Below are 23,881 nucleotides of genomic sequence, written 5' to 3'. Positions count from 1 at the left end.
GCCCCGGTGGGTGCTTGCATTAGGGTTTTGTTGTTGTTGTTTAAGGAGCCTGAGCCGAGGGGAGTGTGAGTGCCAGCTAGCTGCTGTAACTTAAGTCTCATTTGCCCACCATTGTGACTGTTAAAAAGGAATGATAAAGTTGTTACTGGTTGGTTTTTCGCGGTTTGGGGCGGTGGTGGCTCTCCCTCACTGCAAAATGAATGAATACTTTTCGGGTCAAGGTTAGCGTGAAAATGACAGCCCCCTTAGGCTGCCCCCTTTGGCACTGAGCTCTAGGGACACAGGGAAATAATTCCAGCCTGTTATCTGCCTGTGAAAAGTTCTTGCTTGGAAATCTCACTTTGATGTGTGTGTCTGAGCCGGGTGCTCAGTCCGGCTATTGTTTGCGAGATGGAGCCAGACCTGCCGGTGGCATCTTGTTTACTTTCTTCTCCGGCTGCTCAGTAGGGGATGGAGATTTGAAATAGTCGCCAAGCCTCTGCCACGGAGCCTGTGCTCCCCGTTGATTGCAAAGGGTAATGATTAAACAGGTCATTTGAAAACAAAAGCCAACAGCTCGGATTCTGAACCGCGCCCCCACCCCTCACACAAAGCCCCCTCTGGCTGTTGACACCTTCAGATCCTGCTTCTGCCTGCCCTCTGCCCCCCACTCCCTAGCCGGGCTTGACGTTCCAAAGCTTGGAGGTAACAGAACAGCCTTGTTTTTCCTAGCCTTGGCCCTCAGCCCTGGGCAGCCCCCTGGCTGATTTCTCGGCCACCATTCAAATGAGAATGATGACTCAGGCTGCGGCTGTGCACAGGGCCTGGGTGCTGGAAGCGGGGGGCATTTGGGGGCTTCTTAGAAAGGCAGCAAAGGGCAGGGTCCCTCAGCCCCTTTCCCTTGGTGGAGAGACTGGCCTTCTTCCAGCCCCCAACTCAGGATCCCCTTTGGGTACTCATGGATAGGCGTGTCTCTGGGGTCAAGCCCCCCTGCTGGCCTCTGGGAACACAAGAAGACCTGTCCCTCAGTGGGTCCCCCTTCCTCCCTCCTGCAGAAAGCAGCCTGTCCTGTCCCAGGCCCAGGTGACCCAGCTGACTAGTCCAGTTTCAAGATGACTCAGAGGCCAAAGGCCATCGCTGTGTTTCCATGGTCCGGCCTCAGAAGGTGCGGAACATTCGTCAAATGCCTGAGGACCTGCCACCCCATGCACTCTGAGCCCAGATCATGGCTTCAGGTCATGTGTGACCACAGCCCCCTGCCTGCCTGGCTGAGGCGAAGTCTGTCTCCTCTGGCTCACACTTCGTCCGTCTGTAAAATAGAGATAGCACTATTTGGCCCCCTCATGGACACAGAACTGCTGTGTGGATGGTGTGGGACGATTGTGGGAAATGGCTTTTTAGCAAGTGTTAATGGGTCGCAGCCTGCCGACATAGCATTTAAACTGTTTTCAATAATCAGCCATCCAGGTAGAACCCCTTAGATTGTTCCTGCAATACCTGCCCCTAGGTGGTGACCCATAGCTCTGTCACCTCCCTCTCCAAAACCTAAGTTTAGCCCAGACTAGCACAGCATGCCCTGAGGGTCCCTGTGCCACCTGTTTACTTTTTTTTTTTTTTTTTTTTTTGAGACTGAGTTTTGCTCTTGTCCGGGCTGGAGTGCAATGGCGCCATCTCGGCTCACTGCAGCCTCCACCTCCTGGGTTCAAGTGATTCTCCTGCCTCAGCCTCCCGAGTAGCTGGGATTACAGGCATGCGCCACCACACCTGGCTAATTTGGTGTGGAGACGGGGCTTCTCCATGTTGGTCAGGCTGGTCTTGAACTCCCGACCTCAGGTGATCCACTGGCCTCGACCTCCCAAAGTGCTGGGATTACAGGCGTGAGCCACCGCGCCCGGCCCGTTTACAGTTTTGTCAGTCACTCTATAGCATCAAATCATTGACATGGCATTCGAGGCCCTTTGGGATCTAGATCCTGAATCCTCATCTTTATTTTTTTTATTTTTTATTTTTCTCTTTTAGAGACAGAGTCTTGCTCTGTCGTACAGGCTGGAGTACAGTGGCGCCATCATAGATCAATACAGCCTCCAACTCCTGGGCTCAAGCAATCCTCCCACCTCGACCTCCCAAAGTCCTGGGATTACTGCTCCTGGCCTTGAATCCTCATCTTTAGCCCTCCCCCAGCAAATACACAATTTCCCTTATTGTTCCCTACATACCTCTGTGCCTTTGTATCTACCTCTCTTCCATTTGCCTGGAATATTCTCCCCCACCCACCCCTAGTAAATTCCTATTCAGTCCTCAAGAGCTAATGATAGCGCTAATGATAGCATGCTGAAACCTTCCTGAACTTTTCCCTCCGCTCCTTAGCAGGCTTAAGTCACTTCTCTCTCGTGGAGTGGAGTTGTGGAAAGGGAATGGCATTAGGAAACATTCACTCTGTGTTGGGGTGTGGCTGGGTCCAAGGGATGCAGAGATACCTTGCCCCTTCCTCTGCCAAGCCCTAGAGCCTGGTGGAAGAGAAAGAAAGAGGCCATCATTCTACAGCAGGGTGGAGTCAGGGAAGGGCTGGTCTAGCAGGGTACCTAGAACGCCGGGTGCCTACCTGTAGGAGGTGGCACTAGATCTTAGAGCTTTTTTTTGTTTGTTTTTAAGAGATGGGGTCTCTGTTGCCCAGGCTGAAGTACAGTGGCACCATCATAGCTCACTGCAGCCTCGAACTCCTAGGCTCAAGCAATCCTCTCACCTCGGCCTCCCAAGCACCTGGGACTGCGGGTGCGCACCACCACACTCAGCTAATTTTTAAATTTCTTGTAGCGATGGGGGTCTCACTGTGTTGCCCGGGCTGGCCTTGAACTCCTGGCCTCACATGATCCTCCCACCTCAGCCTGTCAGAGGTGCGTGCGGACATAACATTTAAACTGTTACAGGCATGAGCTTACAGGCATGAGCCATTGGCCCTTAGGGCTTTTGAAGTAGGAAAGCCAGTGGCTCACATTTGGAGTTAACTAGTTGGAAGAGAGGATCTAGACCCCAGGACCCCCAGGTACGTTCTGTGTATTAGGTATTAAACCTGCTTTGCAAACCAGGAAGCTGGGGTTCAAAGATTAAGTGACTTGCTCAAGGTCAGGCAAGAAGTGATAGATCCGGGATTTAAATGTGCCAATCTGCACCTTTCTGGCACAAGCTCTGAGATTTTGCTATTGCAGGTTGCAAGAGATGCCCCCATTGAATGGTTATGTCCAGCCCTTCTGTCTACAGCACAGTGTTCTGAAAGGCTTAGGAGCACAGAACTGAAATGCTGGCCTTTCTGTATTCCTGCCTATTTGGCTTTGGTGGGCCTTTTCTTTTTTTTTTTTTTTTTTTGGAGATAGGGTCTTCTTCTGTCACCCAGGCCGGAGTGCAGTGGCGTGATCACGGCTCACTGCAGCCTACACCTCCCGGGCTTGAGTGATCTGCTACCAGAGCTGTTTTCTTCTCCCAGGGATACTTGGTCCTTATCACTCCCATCTAGACGGTTACTTCCTTTTTTTTTTGAAACGGAGTCTTGCTCTGTCACCCAGGCTGGAGTGCAGTGGTGTGTTCTCAGCTCCCTGCAACCTCCACCCCAAGAAGCTGGGATCACAGGCGTGCGCCACCACGCCCGGTAAATTTTTGTATGTTTAGTAAAGACTGGGTTTCGCCATGTTTGCCAGGCTGGTGTCGAACTCCTGACCTCAAGTGATCCACCCACCTCGGCCTCCCAAAATGCTGGGATTACAGGCGAGAGCCACCGCGACCTGCTTAGACATTCTACTTCGTTAGAGCCTTAGAGCCTATCTCAGATACTTTCTTCCGGGCACCTTGCGTATTTCTCAACTTTTGCCGATAACAACATGTTATTGGCTTGTCTTTTTCTCTTACCTAGATTATCAACCTTCAAGTTTTTTGTGCATGATTTGATCCACCCCTTCCCACCACATCACCACAGTACCTACCAGTGGTGATGAGAGCTACCGTTGACTTTGCCATATTTTGCAGAGCGGTGAAGACACTAGCTTTGGAGAAGTACAATGGCAAGGTCGCACAGCTGGAAAGAAACAGAATTGGGATTTGAACTAGGTCCCGTCTCCGCTGCGTGTAGCACCCTGCTTTGTAGGCACTTAGTAAACGTCTGTTTGATGGATTTCTGACCATCAGAGTGACCCAGATTTCAACCCAAGTATTTGCCAGAGTCTCATAGGAGTGCCCTGGGGCTGGAAGATATGTCGTTGTAGAAGGCAGGATCACACCTGCTAGAAGCAGAGCCCAGCGACCCTGTCCCGGGTCTGCTGAACCAGGCCTCTGCCCAGGACCTTTGGAGGAGCATCTGGGTGTGGCTGGACTAGGCGAGGAATGTGCTTACTTATTCTCAGCATAAAGCCAGAAGGCAAGACCCTGGGTAGGTCTGTCCGATGAGCTTCCCTTGTCCTCTGTGGTAACCCTGAGGCTCTGTGACCTAGCTGAGGGCCCTCTGTGGCCCACCTCACCTTGTCTCTCCAGCCTCACCTCGAAGCTTCCAGCCACACCCTAGCGTGCCTCCAGCCTTCAGGCCTTTGTTCTTTCTGCCCAGAGTATTACTTCTTGCCTTACCCCTTTCTTCCCCGTGCATCCTTCTAGATTCCATTTCAGCTTCCCTGAGGGCACGTTGGGCTCACTCTTCTTCTGGTAGGACGGGCTTAACTCAAAACGATAAGGCCAGACCCAGTGGCTCCTGCCTATAATCCCAGCATTTTGGGAGGCTGAGGTTGGAGGATCCCTTGAAGCTAGGAGGTTGAGACCAGCCTGGGCAACAAAGCAAGACCCCATCTCCACAAAAAAAAATTTTTTAAAATAACTTTTTAAAAAATAGCCAGGCATGGCGGTGCACACCTGTCTCAGGAGGTTTGGGTGGGAGGATCACTTGAGCCCGGGAATTTGAGGCTGCAGTGAGCTATGATGGTGCCACTGCACTCCAGCCTGAGCGACAGAGACCCTGTCTCTGAAAAATAATAAAAAAAGAAGAAGAAATGTAACCAGGGGCTATCAACAAGGATGCTTTGTGGTTTTTGTTTGTTTGTTTGAGATGGAGTCTCACTTGGTCGCCCAGGCTGGAGTATAGTGGTACAATCTCGGCTCACTGCAACCTCCGCCTCCCTGGTTCAAGCAATTCTCCTGCCTCAGCCTCTGGAGTAGCTAGGATTACAGGCACCCACCACCATGCCCGGCTAATTTTGTATTTTTAGTAGAGACGGGGTTTAGCCGTGTTACTCAGGCTGGTCTCGAACTCCTGACCTCAGGTAATCCTCCCTCCTTGGCCTCCGAGAGTGCTGAGATAACAGGCGTGAACCACTGCGCCCAGCCAGCAAGGATGCTTTGAGCTACAAACAACAGAAAGCCAGGACATAACCAATAAGAAGTTTGAACTTTGTGTGATCAGAGTTTATGGGTTGGGCTGCCCCAGGCTTGGATAACTTAAAGGCTTGATGAGGTCATCAATTTATGCTTGGCTACCCATGGCACAGAAGCATAGCCCCACTGTGATGGCTGGGGTGGCTCCGGGCATCCTGGGCAGTCAGGAGGAAACTCCATGAAGGAAGGAGCTAACCTTTCTGGGGGTACCCCTATCCCAGCACAGACTTCCTCATCTCATTGGTCAGAACTGGGTCACATGAACATGCCTCAGCCTATCACAGGCACAGGGAATGAGACCATCATGGACCAATCAGGATTCACCACTCAAGGTGGGGCCTGCCATCCGGATGGATGCTCTCCGCCACAGGGAGGTGGGGGACCCAGAAGCTGTGGGCAATGGCCATGTGCACAGTAGGACTGAGGCACTCAGTCCCGTAGCTGACCTACCTGGGACAGGCCTGGAGGCTGACTTAGGTGTGAGGGGCAGAGAGATTACTGTGCACAGACCGCTGTGTGACCCCAGATCTAGGTGGGATCCCGGTGTGCCCCATCTGCCTGGCTTACCCCAACCCCTCTGGAACCTGAACCTACTCCCAGAGTCCCCTCTGTTTTTTTATTAATATTATTATGGAGACATCTCTTTATTTATTTATTTTGGAGACAAGCTCTATTGCCCAGGCTGGAGTGCAGTGGCACCATCATAGCTCACTGCAGCCTCAAATTCCTGGGCTCAAGGTATCCTCCTGCCTCAGCCGCCCGAATAGCTGGGACTACAGGCATGCAGCACCACACCTGGTTAATTTATTTTACTCTGTTTTTAGTAGAGACAAGGTCTCACTGTGTTGTCCAGACTGGTCTTGAACTCCTGGCCTCAAGCAATCCTCTCACCTCGGCCTCCCAAAGTGCTAGGATTACAGGTGTGAGCTACCATGCCTGGCTAATTTTTGTATTTTTAGTAGAGATGGGGTTTCAACATGTTGGCCAGGCTGGTCTCGAACTCCTGACCTCAGACGCTCCACCTGCCTTGGCCTCCCCAAAGTGCTGAGATTACAGGTGTGAGCCACCATGCTCAGCCAAGCAGCACTCTCCTTTTTGCCCATGAAATGCTGTTATCTTTAAATTCCATTCTAGAAAGTCCATTGGATTGGCAAAAACTACACAGGCAAGTATGCAGTAAGCATGGGCCCATGGAAACTTCCTGCTGCCTTCCTGGGCCGGATCTGCTGAATGCAGGTCTCTGGTTTGTTTTGGCCTGCACTGGGTCATTCGTGTTCCTACATGCAGGAAATCTTGCAAACGAGCCATGGTGAACACTAAAGTCTTTTGTTTTTTTTTTTTTGTTTGTTTGTTTTTGAGACAGAGTCTTGCTCTGTCGCCCAGCCTGGAGTGCAATGGCGCAATCTCGGCTCACTGCAACCTTCCCCTCCCAGGTTCAAGCAATTCTCCTGCCTCAGCCTTCCGAGTAGCTGGGATTACAGGCGCATGCCACCACACCCAGCTAATTTTTGTATTTTTAGTAGAGACGGGGTTTCACCATGTTGGTCAGGCTGGTCTCGAACTCCTGACCTTGTGATCTGCCCGTCTGGGCCTCCCAAAGTGCTGGGAGGCGTGAGCCACCATGCCCGGCCAGTGAACACTAACGTCTTACGAGGTATTTATGAGAGAAAAGCTTAAAATTGCAAAAAGTCCATGCAGAGCCCTCATTCCTCGCAACACATTGGGCTGAGGCCACTGTCTAATTGCAGTTTAGGGAAAGACAGGCTATCCCAAGGGAGTTAGAGCCCTGGGACACCTGGGCTGGAATCCCAGCACTGCTCATCCTGGCTGTGTGACCTTGGGCAAGTTGCTTGACCTCTCTGTGCTATGTTTCTTACCTGTAAAACAGAGATGATGATCATGCCTGTAACGTAAGTGGTTGTGAGGGCTTGATGAGATAAACCACGTCAAGCACTCTCAAGAGTATCTGGTCCACTAGAAGCTCCAGTAAGCTTTTTTTTTTTTTTTTTTTTTTGAGACAGAGTCTTGCTCTGTTGCCCCGGCTGGAGTGCAGTGGCATGATCTCAGCTCACTGCAACCTCTGTCTCCCAGGTTCAAGCGATTCTCCTGCTTTAGTCTCCCAAGTAGCTGGGATTACAGGTCTCTACCACCATGCCTGGCTAATTTTTGTATTTTTAATAAAGACACCTGGAACTCCAAAAGTGCTGGATTACAAGTGTGAGCCACTGTACCCAGCCATTAAGCATTAACTGGGAAGGCCCTGGGTCCACTGGCCAGCACCAGTTTGTGAGGGCAGAGCCAGAAAAGCCCAGGCTTAGAAGACTACACACACACATAATCGCATCCTGATTCTGGAAAGTGGAGATGCTGTCACTGCTCTCGCAGAATTAAGCCAAGGACCTCACCTGTCATTTAGGTGTCAGGCCTCTGGCAGGGGCAGCCAAAATGCTCTAGGACCACAGAGCTGCAAGCCAGTAAGGCTTCCTAGAGGAGGCAGCACCATCTGAGCCAAGAATGGGGTGATGGCTGGCATGAGAAAATGTCAGGAGGTGCTGGGGTTAAAGCAAGATGAGCAAGCAGGGAACAGGAGTGGGTGGCTACAGATGGATCAGGGGAGGGGTATAGGTGAAGAGGGTACGGGGTGAGCCCCAGAGCCTTGCGTGTGCCCACTCAGGACAGCCATAGTCTGCTGCTGCCCAGAGAAAGGGGCTGGCTCAACCCTAGCTCCCAAATCTTTTTCCTATGCCTTTTTCCTTTTTCCTCATCTCTTTCCTGAACTATCCAGATATCTTCCTGCCTCCTGCCTCCTGCTTCTAGGGCGGCTCAAATGCTCATTGCTGCCCCATCCCTCTGGGCTGGAGGAGCAAACGCCTGGAGGCTGAAAGAGTAAGTTGTCTGCAGGGAACAAGCCACTGTCCTGTGGCGGGTGCAAATTGGTATGCTCTGTTCACTGAGAAACCCCGCAGTGTATACCTGCGGTAGGCAGGGCCTGATAGGAAGCGCGAAAGGAGTTTCTGTCCCATGGGAGGAAAAGACGTGAGTCCTGTATGTTCTCCAGCAAAGGTAGAGGGTGAGAGGACCAGAGGCCCACACAGGGGGCATGGCTGGGAGTGCAGGGGCAGGGGGTAGTCTGGGAGGATGGAGGGACACAACTGGAGTGGGTGCTGGGTGGACTTCATGCATTCCTTCAGAAGCCCTGGCCACATCTCTGCCTTGTTGGTTTTGTTTGTTTTTTGAGACAGGGTCTCACTCTGTCACCCAAGCGGGAATGCAATGGCGTGATCTCAGCTCACTGCAACCTCTGCTTCCTGGGTTCAAGTGACTCTTGTGCCTCAGCCTCCTGAGTAGCTGGGATTACAGGCGTGCACCACCATGCCTGGCTAATTTTGTGTATTTTAATAGAGACGGGGTTTTGCCTTGTTGGCCAGGGTGGTCTCGAACTCCTGACCTCAGGTGATCCACCCACCTTGGCCTTCCAAAGTGCTGGGATTACAGGCGTGAGCCACCACTCCCGGCCTGAATCTTTCTTGATCAGATGTCTTCTGTCTATCCACTCTGGCTCTGTCTACTCCCTTCCCAACACATGCCCTGTTTTAGGTAACCATGGTAGTTTTGTTTTGTTTTGTTTTGCTTTTGTTTTTGGAGATGGAGTTACACTCTGTTGCCCAGGATGGAGTGCAGTGGCACGATCTCGGCTCACTGCAACCTCTGCCTCCTGGGTTGAAGTGATGCTCCTGCCTCAGCCTCCTGAGTAGCTGGGGTTACAGGTACCACCACCATGCTCAGCTAATTTTTTGTATTTTTAATTTAGATGGGTTTTCCCAGGTTGGACAGGCTGGTCTTGAACTCCTGACCTCAAGTGATCTGCGCGCCTTGGCCTCCCAACGTGCTGGGATTACAGGCATGAGCACTGCGCCTGGCCAACCGTGGTAGTTTTTAGATTTTTTGTACAGAGGGGGTCTCACTCTGTTGTCCATGCCGGTCTCAAACTCCTGACCTTAAGTGATCCTCCCGTCTTGGTTTCCCAAAGTGCTGGGATTACAGGCATGAGCCACTGCTCCCAGCTGCTGGTGGTTTTAAAAGCTAGGATTGGCTGGGCGCAGTGGCTCACGCCTGTAATCCCAGCACTTTGGGAGACCGAGGCGGGCGGATCACAAGGTCAGGAGATCGAGACCATCCTGGCTAACACGGTGAAACCCCGTCTCTACTAAAAATAGAAAAATTAGCCAGGCGTGGTGGCGGGCGCCTGTATTCCCAGCTACTCAGGAGGCTGAGGCAGGAGAATGGCGTGAAGCCGAGATCGCGCCACTGCATTCCAGCCTGGGCGACAGAGCCAGACTCCATGTCAAAAAAAAAAAAAAAAAACCTGGGATCCCTCCACCCCCGTCTCCTTTAAATGTCTGTCTTGGCTACTTTCTTCTAAGTCACTAGGAGATGGTAAAAGCAATACCATGAGACTTCCGAGGCTAGGGCACGAAAGGATGGCTTCTGCGTGGTGCTCCCTCTCTCCCAGATCCCTTGCTCTGTAGGAAACCAACCCCCAAGGCCTGAAGACACCCAAGCAGCCCCATGGAGAGGCCCATATGGAGAGGAACTGAGGCATCCCACCCCCAACCGGCAGCTCGGGGCTTTGAAAACAGATCCTTCCGCCCCAGGCAAGCCTTCCAATGGATTGCAGCCCCAGCCAATGCCTTGAACTGCCAAGTTCAGCCACACCTAAATTCCTAACCCATAGGAACTGTGAGAGATAATAAAAGTTTGTTGTTGTTTCAAGCCACTAAGATCTGGGGTAATTTGTTATGTAGCAACAGATAAGGAATGAAATGACCCTGCCATTTATCATTGAGATGGGAATAAACTTTTTTTAGAATAGCAGGAAGTACTTTAAATAATTACTAGATTGGCCAAGCACAGTGGCTCACGCCTGTAATCCCAGCACGCCTGTAATCCCAGCACTTCAGGCTGATCGCTTGAGCTCAGGAATTGGAGACCAGCGGAGGCAACATGGTGGGACCCCGACTCTGCAAAAAATACAGAAAAATTAGCTAGGCATGATGGCGCCTGCCTGTGATCCCAACTACTCAGGAGGCTGAGGTGGGAGGATTGCTTGAGCCTAGGAGGTAGAGGTTGCAGTGAGCCGAGATTGCACCACTGTACTCCAGCCTGGACAACATAATGAGACCCTGTCTCCTCCTCCTCCTCCTCCTCCTCCTCCTCCTCCTCATCACCATCATCACAATAATAACAACAACAACCTGCAGACAATAGGGCAAACCTGACCATGTGATCACCCTACCTTTAGTCCAGCCAGAGAAGTCTTGTGAGTCCTTAAACCTAACACAGACACTTCTTGAGGTCGGCTTCAGCATCCTCTCCTCCAGGAAGCCACCCTGGTGCCTGGTGAGTGGCTTCCTGGGATCACCCATGCCTCAGTGTGCAGGATGAGAGGGCTGGTCCTGATCCCCTTCTGTCCTCACCCCCAGGTCCATGTCCAGGGCTTAGGACTGGTCGTCCCTTGGTGTTGACTCATCTCCCAGGGATCAAAAAAGTCAGTTGTAGCTGGGCGCAGTGGCTCACGCCTGTAATCCCAGCACCTGTGGGAGGGCCAAGCGGGTACATCGCCTGAGGTCAGTAGTTCGAGACCAGCCCGGCCAACAAGGTGAAGCCCTGACTCTACCAAAAATACAAAAATTAGCCGATGTGGTGGTGGGCGCCTGTAATCCCAGCTACTGGGGAGGCTGAGGCAGGAGAATCGCTTGAACCTGGAAGGCAGAGGTTGCAGTGAGCCGAAATCGTGCCACTACACTCCAGCCTGGGTGACAAGAGTGAAACTCCATCTCAAAAAAAAAAACAAAAAAACACCTTGTAAAAGGTTTAATTGGTCTCTCTTCTGAGCCTGCACACGGCTGGAAAGGTTTTCTCTTATAACAGATCTGCAGTATGAAAAACCAGCCCAGTTGCATCCGTTCTGGGCCAGTGGGATTCTGGGTGTCCAAGGTCCCTGTGGGCCATCTACGGTGCTAAATTGAAACTTTTTGAAAAGCATTTTTTTTTTGAGATGGAGTCTGGCTCTGTCACCCAGGCTGGAGTGGAGTGGTGAGATCTTGGCTCACTGCAAACTCTGCCTCCCGGGTTCACGCCATTCTCCTGCCTCAGCCTCCCGAGTAGCTGGGACTACAGGCACCTGCCACCACGCCTGGCTAATTTTTTTGTATTTTTAGTAGAGACAGAGTTTCACTGTGTGAGCCAGGATGGTCTCGATCTCCTGACCTTGTGATCTACCCGCCTCAGCTTCCCGAAGTGCTAGGATTACAGGCATGAGCCACCGCACCTGGCCTGAAAAAAATTCTTGAGACAGGGTCTCACTGTGTCACCCAAGCTGGAGTGCAGTGATGCAATCTCAGCTCACTCCAGCCTCGATTTCTCAGGCTCCAGCAATCCTCCCTGCCTCAGCCCCACTGAGTAGCTGGGACTGCAAGCACTCGCCACTACACCCAGATAATTTTTGTTTTTTTTGTAGAGATGGGGTCTCGCTATGTTGCCCAGGCTGGTCTCGAACTCCCGGGCCCAAGTAATCCTCCTGCCTCAGCCTTCCAAAGTGCTGGGATTACAGGTGTGAGCTACAGCGCCTGGCCTAAATGGAAAACTGGTGTCTAGGTGCCATATTCTCAGGCTTGCCCTCACCATAACACATTGAACATACTCCAACCTCTGAGCTAGATCTCTGCATCTCTGCTTAAAAGCCTGAGGTTTTGCTTGCACACCCCAATTTTTTTTTTTTTTTTGGAGACAGGGTCTTGCTGTCACCCAGGCTGGAGTGCAATGGTGCGATCTTGGCTCATTGCAACTTCCATCTCCTGGGTTCAAGCAATTCTGGTCCCTCAGCCTCCCGAGTAGCTGGGATTACAGGTGCACGCCACCACGCCTGGCTAATTTTTGCATTTTTAGTAGAGACGGGGTTTCATCATGTTGCCCAGGCTGGTCTTGAACTCCTGACCTCAAGTGATCCACCAGCCTCGGCCTCCCAGAGTGCTGGGATAACAGGCATGAGCCACCGCGCCTGGCCATGCACCCACATTTACAGCAACCTTATTCACTAAGGCCTAAAGATGGAAGTGACCCAGGTGTCTACTGATGGATGAACAGATCAACAAAGTGGGATGTATTCACACAAAGGAATATTATTCAGGGGGGAAAAGGAAGGAAATTCTGACACATGCTACAACATGAATGAACCTTGAAGACATCATGCTGAGTGAAATAAACTAGTCACAAAAGAACAAATACTGCATGAGATCCCACTTGTATGAAATACCTGGTGTAGCCGGAGTCATAGAGACAGAAAGAATGGTGGTTGCCAAGAGCTGGGGAGTTGGTGTTTAGTGGGTATGGAGTTCCTGTTGGGTAAGATGAAGAGTTCTAGAGATGGATGGTGGCAATTGCTGTCCGTATTGAAAATGTGCTTAACACGATTGAATTGCACACTTAAAGATAGTTAAGATGGTAGGTTTTGTTGTGTGTATTTTACCACAATTAATAAAATTTGAGGCCAGGTGTGGTGGCTCATGCCTGTAATCCCAGCACTTTGGGAGGCTGAGGTGAGTAGATTGGTTGAGCTCACAAGTCGGAGACCAGCCTGGGCAACATGGTGAAACCTCATCTCTACAAAATATACAAAATGTAGCTGGGCTTAGTGGCGTGCACCTGTGGTCTTAGCTACTCAGGAGGCTGAGGTGGAAGGATCGCTTGACCCCGGGAGGTAGAGGCTGCAGTGAGCCGAGATTGTGCCACTGTACTCCAGCCAGGCAGTAGAGCCAGACCTTGTCTCAAAAAAATAAAAATAAAAATTAATGTTTAAGATTTTATTTTATTTTAGATTTAAGAGGTACATGTGGATGTTTGTTACATGGATATATGGCATACTGGTAGGGACTGGGCCTCTAGTACGCCCATTACCCAAATAGTGAACATTGTACCCGATAAGTAATTTTTTTAACCTTCCTCCCCTTCCCAACCTCCCCTCTATTGGAATCCCCAGTGTCTGATGTTCCCATATTTTTTTTTTTTTTGAGACGGAGTCTTACTCTATTGCCCAGGCTGGAGTGCAGTGCAATCTCGGCTCAGTACAGCCTCTGCCACCTGGGTTCAAGTGATCCTCCTGCCTCAGCCTCCCGAGTAGCTGGGACTACAGGCATGTGCCACCACACCCAGCTAATTTTTGTATTTTTTAGTAGAGATGGGGTTTCACCATGTAGGCCAGGCTGGTCTCAAACTCCTGACCTCAGGTGATTCGCCTGCCTCGGCCTCCCAAAGGGCTGAGATCATACGCGTGAGCCGCTGCTCCCGGCCATGGCAGATCCTTCTTGAACACCCACTATGCATGAGGCCTCCGCTGGGAGTTCCCATCATTCACCCTCATAGCAGCTCTACAGGAAGGAGCTGTCTGCCCCCAAGTCACACAGTGGACAACAGCAGTTTGGGGGTCAGCCTTGGCCCCCCCACTCCGAACTCCTCGCCGCCTATGCCCTCCACTCCTTTCCACTGTTAACCCAAGATGGAAAAGCTTATGCCAAGGGTCATTTCTCAGGATATGCACATAACAGGAAAATGTGTTTTTATCCAAATTCCCACAACCCACCAGCCATGTGATCTTGGGCAACTTAGAACCTCCAAGGAGGGGCTGGCTCTGTTATCTATGCTAGAGTGCAGTGGCATGAGCATAGCTCACTGCAGCCTCAACCTTCCAGGCATAAGCAATCCTCCTGCCTCAGCCTTCCAAGTAGCTGGGACTACAGGTGTGCACCGTCATGCCCAGCTAATTTTTAAAAAAGATTTTTAGTAGCAACAGGGTCTTACTATGTTGCCCAGGCCAGTCTCAAACTCTTGAGCTCAGACAATTCTCCTGCCTTGACCTTCCAACGTGGTAGAATTATAGGCGTAAGCCACCACACCGTGGCCTGGTTTCATCTTTAAAATAGGGATAAGGTGAAGCATGGTGGCTCACACTTGTAATCCCATCACTTTGGCAGGTCGAAGCGGGAGGATTGCCTGAGCTCAGGAGTTTGAGATCAGCCTGGACAGCATAGTGAGACCCCATCTCTACCAAAAAATAACTGGAGATAACACTATCAACATCTTGGGTGGTTGTGAGAATTAAATGGGGAATTTTATGTTAGGGACTTAGTGAGGTGTTGATTACATAGTGAACCTATTATTCACAGAAATTCAATGGATGTTTTGAGGTGCCCTCTACTTGATGCAAGCCTCGGCGAGGTGGCAGTGGTGGCCTCTGTCCCCATGGCACGGATGGTCTGTTCTGCTTTGGAAGCACTGGAAGGGCACATCTGACAATTGCAGGATGGCTGGTTTTTATTGGAGGAAGGGAAGCTGTTTATTTGTTTCAGATTGGCTGAGCTGTGGGGATGCGGGAGGCTGGCAGGAGGGGAGGGGTCTATAGTAAGGAGACTGGAGAAACTCTGGGGGCCAGGCAGGCAGCCCCCTGGTAAGAGCTGCTTCTTGGAACACAAAGAGCCGTTGCGTCCTCCAGCCGGCCTTGAGGAAGGTGTGACTTCTCTGCTCCCAGCAATGTCTTGGGCACCCTTCTCTGCCCTGCACACCAGCTCTGCCTGCAGGGTGCCTGGACACTCTGGGTGTCTACTGTGTCCCCATATGGTGCTTGCAAGTCTTCCTCCCAGACTGCCCCCTGCTTCTGTGTCCCCTCCCTGGTGCACAGCACCACATCCAGCCCCCCTCCCACCCAGCCCACCCAGGTCCTGCCCACGTGACCCCCAGTCTTTCTCCAGTCGCACCTCCTCTGCACGCTGACCGCCATGTCTTGTCCTCTTTTTCTTTTTTTTTGAGACAGAGTCTTGCTCTGTCATCCCGGCTGCTGGAGTGCAATGGCGCAATCTTGGCTCACTGCAACCTCCGCCTCCCGTGTTCAAGTGATTCTCCTGCCTCAGTCCTCCCTGGGACTACAGGGGTACACCACCATGCCTGGCTAATTTTTATATTTTCAGTAGAGTCAGGGTTTCACCATGTTGGCCAGGCTGGTCTCGAACTCCTAACCTCAGGTGATCCACCCGCCTCGGCCTCCCAAAGTGCTGGGATTACAGGCGTGAGCCACCGTGCCCAGGCTGTGTGCTTCTATTCTAGCTCCCCGACTCCTGATCCCCTGACCCTGAGGCCTCAGGACGAAGGTCTCATCCCCTCCAGGCAGGCCCTCCTTGGCAGGGCAGCTTCAATTTGTATAGGAATCAAATCCATCCTGTTGGGGTTTTACCATGTTCCCCAGGCTGGTCTTGAACTCCTGGGCTCAGACAATTCTCCTACCTTGGCCTCCTAAGGTGCTGGGATTACAAGTATGAGCTACCATGCCGGGCCTATTTTTTTTTTAATAATTTTTTTTTTAATGTGGGAGAGTTCAAATGTGAAATCAAGGCCCGGTGCGGTGGCTCACGCCTATAATCCCAGCACTTTGGGAGGTGGAGGCAAGAGGATCGCTTGAGGCCAGGAATTCAAGACCATTTGGGGCAACATAGCCAGACCCCGTCTCTACAAGAAATTTTAAAAATTAGCCAGACGTGGTAGTGCACACCTGTAGCCCCAGCTACTCTGGAGGCTGAGACAGGAGGATCACTGGAGCCCAGGAGTTGGAGGCTGCAGTGAGCTATGCTCACACCATTGCACTCCAGCCTGGTTGACAAAGTGAGACCCAGTCTCAAGAAAAAAAAAAAAAAGTGGGAAGAAGCATACCCCACCACACTTCTTCTTTGGGGTTAGAATTTTGGGCCTGCACTGGAATGTGGAACGCTGATAGGGGATGGGGACAGGTGGAGGTGTCAGGGGCGCCCTCAGACTCTACCCTCCTTCATTGCCTTAGAGGTGAGGCTGGGGAACGACCCTGGGGTAAGGGGTTGCCCGTGCCCACTCCCCTGCATGCAGGAGCTGGATCTCTGCTTCACTCTTCCCCTTTCCTGATGGGAACTTGCTCCTGCATTTGGCCCCTGGGCCTCTGGGTAACCTGCCCCAGCCACCGAGGGCTTGGCCCCAGGCGAGTGCATCTGTAAGGGCAGATCCCGCGGCGAATTTCCTGGGTGACTCCTTTGCACACACCCAGGCTGGACTCCCTCCACCCCCTCCCAACTGAGCAATGCTTTGGGGCTGTTTCGTCCACTAGAGCAGCACAGTCAAGAATGAGGGGGTGTATGGGCTGGGCGTGGTGGCTCACGCCTGTAATCCCAGCACTTTGGGAGGCTGAGGCAGGCGGATCACAAAGTCAGGAGTTCAAGACCAGCCTGGCTAATATGGTAAAACCCTGTCTCTACTAAAAATACAAAATTAGCCGGGTGTGGTGGTGCATGCCTGTAGTCCCAGCTACTCGGGAGGCTGAGGCAGGAGAATTGCTTGAACCCGGGAAGCGGAGGTTGCAGTGAGCAGAGATCACACCACTGCACTCCAGCCTGGGCAACAGAGTGAGACTCTGTCTCAAAAAAAAAAAGAATAAGGGGGTGACACCTCAGAGAACAAGCTGCAGGCCTGGTGTCACCTGCAGATGACAAGGCTACCGTATCCATTCCTCAAGCCAGGCCTCTGAGGAGCCCTGGTGGGTAGGGTGCTGGAGGGAGAACTCGAGCTTGCAGGCAGTAAAATGCATTTTTTTTTTTTTTTTTTGGTGGCGGGGACAGAGTCTCACCCTGCCGCCCAGGCTGGAGTGCAGTGGCGCAATCTCAGCTCACTGCAAACTCTTGACTCCTGGGTTTGAGCGATTCTCCTGCCTCAGCCTCCCGAGTAGCTGGGATTACAGGTGTGCACCACCACACTCAGCTAATTTTGGCGTTTTTAGTAGAGACAGGGTTTCGCCATGTTGGCCAGGCTGGTCTCAAACTCCTGACCTTGGGTGATCAACCTGCCTCAGCCTCCCAAAGTGCTGGGATTACAGGCGTGAGCCACTATGCCCGGCCACATTTCTTTCTTTCTTCTTTTTTTTTTTTTAATCTGTGCTTTTCTCCACCCTCTTCAGACTTTGTTCTAGTCTACAATTTCCCTCCTGCAGCTTCTCTCTGATGACGTCCCCACCCAGCCCGTCAGTCCAAATTAGCCTGGTTTAACTGCGTTTGTCAGTTTCTGTAGAAGAATGAAGAAGGTGATAGCACCCACGTTATAGGGCTGTTCACGGGAGGTTGAAGTGAGATCTTACAGAGAAAGTGCTTAGCAGGTGCCCCAGGTCCAGAGTGTGGGGTTGGCTGTGAGTCGTGTGCATTTCCTGCCCTGACCCCCTCTGCAAGCTTGGTTCCTGAGTGCTTGAGTGAGGCACACTTGACCTGCTTATGTGATTCCCATGGCACCATGGTGTGGGGAATGTCTCCCAACAAGACACCTTATCAAGCGCTCTCTCTCCACTCTGCTGTTCCTACCACATATTCCCAGGCAGGTCACCCTACCTTTCTTGTTTTCTTTTGAAGACAGGGTCTCGCTCGGTCACCCAGGCCAGAGTTCAGTGGCAAAATCATAGCTCACTGCAGCTCCTGGACTCAAGGGATCCTCCCGCCTCAGCCTCCTGAATAGCTGGGGCCGCAGGTGTGTGCCACCACACCTGGCTAATTTTTACAATATTTTGTAGAGACAGGGTTTCACTTTGTTGCCCAGGCTGGCCTCAAACTCCTGGCCTCAAACGATCCTCCTGCCTCGGCCTCCAAAAGTGCTGTGATTTCAGACGTGAGCCACCTCACCTGGCCTGACCCGGCCTTTCTGAGCCTTCAGCCCTCATCTTTGTCTGGGGGCATTCTAAAAACCAAGGAATAGAATACCAGGGTCAGACTCAGACTTTGCGTTCAGTAGGCCATGAATACTTGGGTTTTCGCTCAGTTTCTGGGGCATTGAGACTGATAGAAGCAACTGACCCCCTTAGCTAAGGCAGGCAGGCAGGTATTGTCACCAAGAGACCCTGGAGATCAGGAGAGGTTATTTGGGGTTGGGGATCTCCAAGGAGGGGCAGGGAAGTTAGTACCATCGTCGGGCTGGAAATGGGAAGCGTTTGGCTCGTTGGAAGTGGTGAGGCTGGGGTGTGGGACCCTCGCCATGTGACCTACGTGGGGTGATCTCAGTAGAAATTGGGACCTGCCAACCATGGTTGCCTGGGAGAGTTGCCTGGGCACCTGCCTGTGATCCCAACTACTCAGGAGGCTGAGGTGGGAGGATTGCTTGAGCCTAGGAGGTAGAGGTTGCAGTGAGCCAAGATTGCATCACTGAACTCCAGCCTGGGCAACAGAACAATTCTCTGTCTCAAAAACAAAAACAAAAACAAAAAAACAAAAAAAAACTATTTACCCAATTTCCCTTGCTTATGCATGCTTAAATTTTGTATAAGCTTAAATATCTTTTCCATCTAAGCTGTACTCTATCCCCTTTTATAACTTTAGGTGGCTGTCTTTATTAAAAGTTTTTTCTTGAAAGTCTTAAAACAATATAGTTCTTGGCAATTTGAAAGTTATTTGAGAAGGGGAAATTTATAATGACAATTCAAATGAAGCAAACTAAAAAATAATGAAGAAAGACAGAGGAAAAAGCAGTATTCACTTGAACACATCCCAAACAAATAAAATTTCAAATGTAACAAGGAAAAAGCCTGCTAAAGCTCACAATACAGAAATAACTATTGATACTCAAAATAGCTTTAAAGCCCTGCTCACCTTTTGAATGTTGGGAATTGACCAGGAGGTGACTGTAACTGTAAGATGGTTCTTCCAGTAATGACCATTTTCTTTTTCAAGATGATGATTATTCTCCACCGTCTAAGAGACCAAAGGCCAATGAGCTACCGCAGCCACCAGTCCCGGAACCCGCCAATGCTGGGAAGCGGAAAGTGAGGGAGTTCAACTTCGGTAAGTTCTCAGCGAACGACGTGACCTTTTCCTTCATCTTCTGGATTCTCAGTGTGACTGATAAATGTTGCAACATGCTCTGCAGGGGGAAAATGCTTTAGCGTCTATTACTGCATCATAATCTCATCTTTGGAAAGCCAGGAGCATTTTGAAAATTACATTACAGACATTGTTTAAACATAGTTTGGATTTACCAAAGCATAGGACATTGTCTTGTCTGATGTTAATTAGTCAGCTCAAGATTAGTGCTAAAGACTTAGTAATTTAGTTATTTCTCTTAGCTTTAAAATCTTTATTTCAGAACTATTTCACCTCTTGGTTTTCTTTTTTTTTTTTTTTGCTCTGTGTTACTGCAGCTGCTAATCTGTGAGCTCTCAATGGATGATGTATCCTAGCAAGGGACTGAATGAGATATTAGCGGCAAATTATGTTGATGATTCATATTTTGAATAAATGGAATATTGAGCTTGTATACATCTTGAAAATAGTACTTTAATATTCTACTGTGTCATAGTCACAATGATTGGATATGAATTGAATTTTTGTACTTTTTAAATATGTTTTTGTTCTTTATTTTTAATTTTTATTATTATTTTTTTGAGACAGAGTCTTGCTCTGTCACCCAGGTTGGAGTGCAGAGGCACGATCTCAGCTCACAGCAACCTCCGCCTCCCGGGTTCAAGTGATTCTTCTGCCTCAGCCTCCTGAGTAGCTGGGATTACAGGCGCCCACCACCATGCCCAGCTAATTGTTGTATTTTTAGTAGAGATGGGATTTCACCATGTTGGCCAGGCTGGAATCGAACTCCTGACCTCAGGTGATCCGCATGCCTCAGCCTCCCAAAGTGCTGGGATTACAGGCATGAGCCACTGCACTTGGCCTGTTCTTTAGCATTTTAAGTTGCAACTATATATCCGTAAAGTCTTATTTCCACACAACTAACACATGTTTTAGGAAGTTTGCTAAAAGACCCCTGGAGACCTTTATCGTGGTCTCCCTTTTGTCGTGTTTCATTTGCTTGATCTTTTCTGCCCTCCTGCTTTTCAGAAATTAAAAGGCTAAAAAGAGGTGCTAAATGTTAAAACTTCTCGTGTAGTCTCCCATGAGACTATTAAAAGTAATGGCAAAAGCCACAGTTACTTTTGCACCAACCTACTAATTCTAAGAACCACCAAAAAGGGGAAAGTTCTTGGAAAGCAGTAAAATGATATGGACAGTTGGGATGTAAAAATGTAGAAAATATGTCATTGTATGTTCAGTCATCCCAAGACCCTAGTGCTGCCCCGATGGTAGGGACTTCTTAATGAGAATTAACTTTTGCTCAATTTTCAGAGAAATGGAATGCTCGCATCACTGATCTACGTAAACAAGTTGAAGAATTGTTTGAAAGGAAATATGGTATGTCTAAATAGGAAAATTCCTGTAATACTTTGTTCATGAGCATTTACACAATGGCGTTACTGTTCATCATGGGGGTGATGTGGACAAGCCCAGCCCAGGGCTGCCAGTGAACCGTGCCACACTTTCTTACACGTCTCTCATTGTAAGGTCCTTAGTAGTGTCTGTCTAAATATTAGAAACAGTCTTTGTTTCTAGATTACAGTAAAGCTAAGGAAAAGTTGTATTTCTGTAGTTATCAGCTAACATTTCTTTTAAACTTCCAGCATGGATATTTGGGAATTTATTTACATATTTATTACAAAGCTCTGGATCTTGGGGGTTTCATTAAAAATTATTTTTTTAACTGATAGTTTCTGTTAATCTACTTTGTTAAATCCAGTATTTGCTGAGATCCCCCTATTGTCTCTACTTTTATCTTTTTTTTTTTTTGAGACGGAGTCTCTGCATTGCAGTAGTACGATCTCGGCTCATTGCAACCTCCGCCTCCCGGGTTCAAGCAATTCTCCTGGCTCAGTCTCCCAAGCAGCTGGGACTACAGGTGCCCGCCACCATGCCCTGCTAATTTTTGTATTTTTAGTAGAGACAGGGTTTCACCATGTTGGCCAGGCTTGTCTCAAACTCCTGACCTCAAGTGATCCTCCCGCCTTGGCCTCCCAAAGTGCTGGCATTACAGGCGTGAGCCACCCTTCCCGGCCACTGCTTTTATCTTGATGTATAACTGAGTTGATGCTAGATTTCAATTCCTTCTTTGTCCTTTTACTATTCTGTCCTATAGCCACCTTTATATAATGATCAAAGAAATTCACAATTTATCATTTTTATTTTTTATAAAATATTTAAAATGATTTAAAATAAAAATCATTTTATTTTTATCATATTTATTATCATCTGTTATCATTTTTATTTGGATGACTATTTACTTTGCCATTAACTAGCAAGCGGTAAAATTGTATGATATGCAGTTTTAACTGAATTGCTATAAGTGAAAATTTAAATGCAATAAACCATATTGATGGTATTTGTGTTAACAAACTTAAAATGAGCATTTTTTCTTCATCATGAGTAATATAACCTACCCCTCAATGAAAATCTACAATTAGAGTAAATTTGCTAGTGAATTCAGTAACTTTTCCATATTTTTAGTGGTTTACTTAAGGTTCTCTTAGTGTTTCTCCCAGTTTTTAATAGCTTACACCTTTTTTGCCCGTGGTTTTTTGTTTTTTGTTTTTTGTTTTTTTTTTTTTTTTTTTTTTGAGATAGAGTTTTGCTCTTGTTGCCTAGTCTGGAGTGGCACGATCTCGGCTCACTGCAACCTCTGCCTCCCAGGTTCAAGCAATTCTCCTGTCTGAGCCTCCTGAGTAGTTAAGATTACAGGTGCCCGCCACCATGCCCAGCTAATTTTTGTATTTTTAGTAGAGACAAGGTTTCACCATGTTGGCCAGGCTGGTCTTGAACTCCTAACCTCAGGTGATCCACCCACCTCGGCCTCCCAGAGTGCTGGGATTACAGGCGTGAGCCGCTGCGCCCGGCCTCATGTTTTCTATTGGTTCATTATGAAGCAAAAACTTCATAGCATGTGCTACCTGGAAGCACTGTGACCTAGTGGTAAGATCATAGGCTCTGGGGACACAGTGCCTTGCCACGTCTCTTCTCCTGTCTGAGTCTTAGTATCCTCTTTTGTGGTCATGAGAACTGAAGATCTATCCTGGAGATTGATAAGATAGTAAAGTGCTTCACGTAATACCTGGCATACATGTAATAAATGCTTCCTGTGTGTATATATATACACACATATACATATATATGTATATGTACATATACACATATACATATATATATATATACATAAACACATATACATATATATATAACACAGTGAAACCCCCGTCTCTACTAAAAATACAAAGAATTAGCTGGGCGTGGTGGCGGGCACCTGTAGTCCCAGCTACTCGGGAGGCTGAGGCAGGAGAATGGCGTGAGCCCGGGAGGCAGAGCTTGCAGTGAACCGAGATCACGCCACTGCACTGCAGCCTGGGAGACACAGCAAGACTCCATCTCAAAAAAATAAAAAAAAAGTTAAAGAGCACTACAGATTCAATGATTTATTATTCTTTTCTACAAATTGTGTTTAAATGATATCTCTTTCTCTTTTTGTCCTTATAGCTCAAGCCATAAAAGCCAAAGGTCCGGTGACGATCCCGTACCCTCTTTTCTAGTCTCATGTTGAAGATCTTTATGTAGAAGGACTTCCTGAAGGAATTCCTTTTAGAAGGCCATCTACTTACGGAATTCCTCGCCTGGAGAGGATATTACTTGCAAAGGAAAGGATTCGTTTTGTGATTAAGAAGTAAGACTCTTGGATTCCTGTTGAACTCTTGTCTCTTTTCTGAGTAATACGTCTTTTTTATTGTTGACCAATATTCATTCACCACTAGGGTTCTATGTGATGAAGTTTGAGTTATTTTATGTATTTTTATCTTGCACTTTTTAATTTATCTGGGTCCAGCATTGCATCAGTCATGCAGTGTTGGCATTCGAAGCATGAACAGTGCCCGCACTGGATTGGCATGCAACTCACATTTTCTTTCACAATTTTCTGCTACTTTTGCTAAAGAACATAGAATCCACGCCTTGTTTTTAGGCCTGATATATATATATATATATTTTTTCGAGATGGAGTCTCACACTGGAACCCAGGCTTGAGTGCAGTGTCGCAATCTCAGCTCACTGCAACCTCTGCCTTCCAGGTTCAAGCGATTCTCATGCCTCAGACTCCCGAGTAGCTGAGATTACAGGCGTGCGCCACCATGCCTGGCTAATTTTTGTATTTTTAGTAGAGACGGTGATTCACCATGTTGGCCAGGCTGGTCTTGAACTCCTGACCTCAGATGATCTGCCAACCTCGCCCTCATAGGCCTGAGATTTTTAAAGCATGCGTGGGAATATATGATTGTTTTTATAGATGTGCAGAGGAAGATAGTCTTGAATGCAATATGACATTAAAGGATCCCATTTAAGATTTTTGTAATATGCTTCAAAGACCTGTGGGTTGCAAAGTTACCTCTTTACTTGTGAGGATACATGCTCCATGAAGCACCTTATGAGACAACTTGCAATTATTAGTTTGCTTTTTACTCTGTAGAAACCTCAAATTAAGATTTAGTTGTGGGCTGGGTGTAGTGGCTCACACCTGTAATCCCAGCACTTTGGGA

The 23,881-nt window shown here is 48.9% G+C and overlaps 1 long non-coding RNA gene and 1 pseudogene across 3 annotated transcripts in view; one reads left to right on the top strand and one right to left on the bottom strand.

Moving 5' to 3' along the window:
• GTF2IP1 (general transcription factor IIi pseudogene 1) overlaps positions 1-23,881 on the top strand; it is a 52,323-nt pseudogene that overhangs the window by 1,284 nt on the left and 27,158 nt on the right. The window contains exons 2-4 of the transcript NR_002206.3: positions 19,158-19,268; positions 20,601-20,666; positions 22,833-23,016. The product of NR_002206.3 is annotated as a general transcription factor IIi pseudogene 1 (transcript). The remainder of the gene's footprint in view (positions 1-19,157; positions 19,269-20,600; positions 20,667-22,832; positions 23,017-23,881) is intronic.
• LOC107986710 (uncharacterized) lies at positions 1,937-19,252 on the bottom strand. Of its 2 annotated transcripts, none has more exons than XR_001744948.3 (3): positions 19,077-19,252; positions 10,682-10,979; positions 1,937-4,045 (listed from the first exon to the last, which is right to left on the bottom strand). It is a non-coding gene; the product is annotated as an uncharacterized LOC107986710 (long non-coding RNA). The 2 variants fall into 2 exon arrangements; XR_001744949.2 differs by lacking the exon at positions 1,937-4,045 and adding an exon at positions 10,363-10,406.

The sequence above is a fragment of the Homo sapiens genome, chromosome 7 (assembly GCF_000001405.40).
Source record: "Homo sapiens chromosome 7, GRCh38.p14 Primary Assembly".
In the NCBI taxonomy this organism is placed as follows: Eukaryota; Metazoa; Chordata; class Mammalia; order Primates; family Hominidae; genus Homo; species Homo sapiens.
Note: the sequence above shows the minus strand (reverse complement) of the source record. Positions and strands in the feature narration are given on the sequence as shown.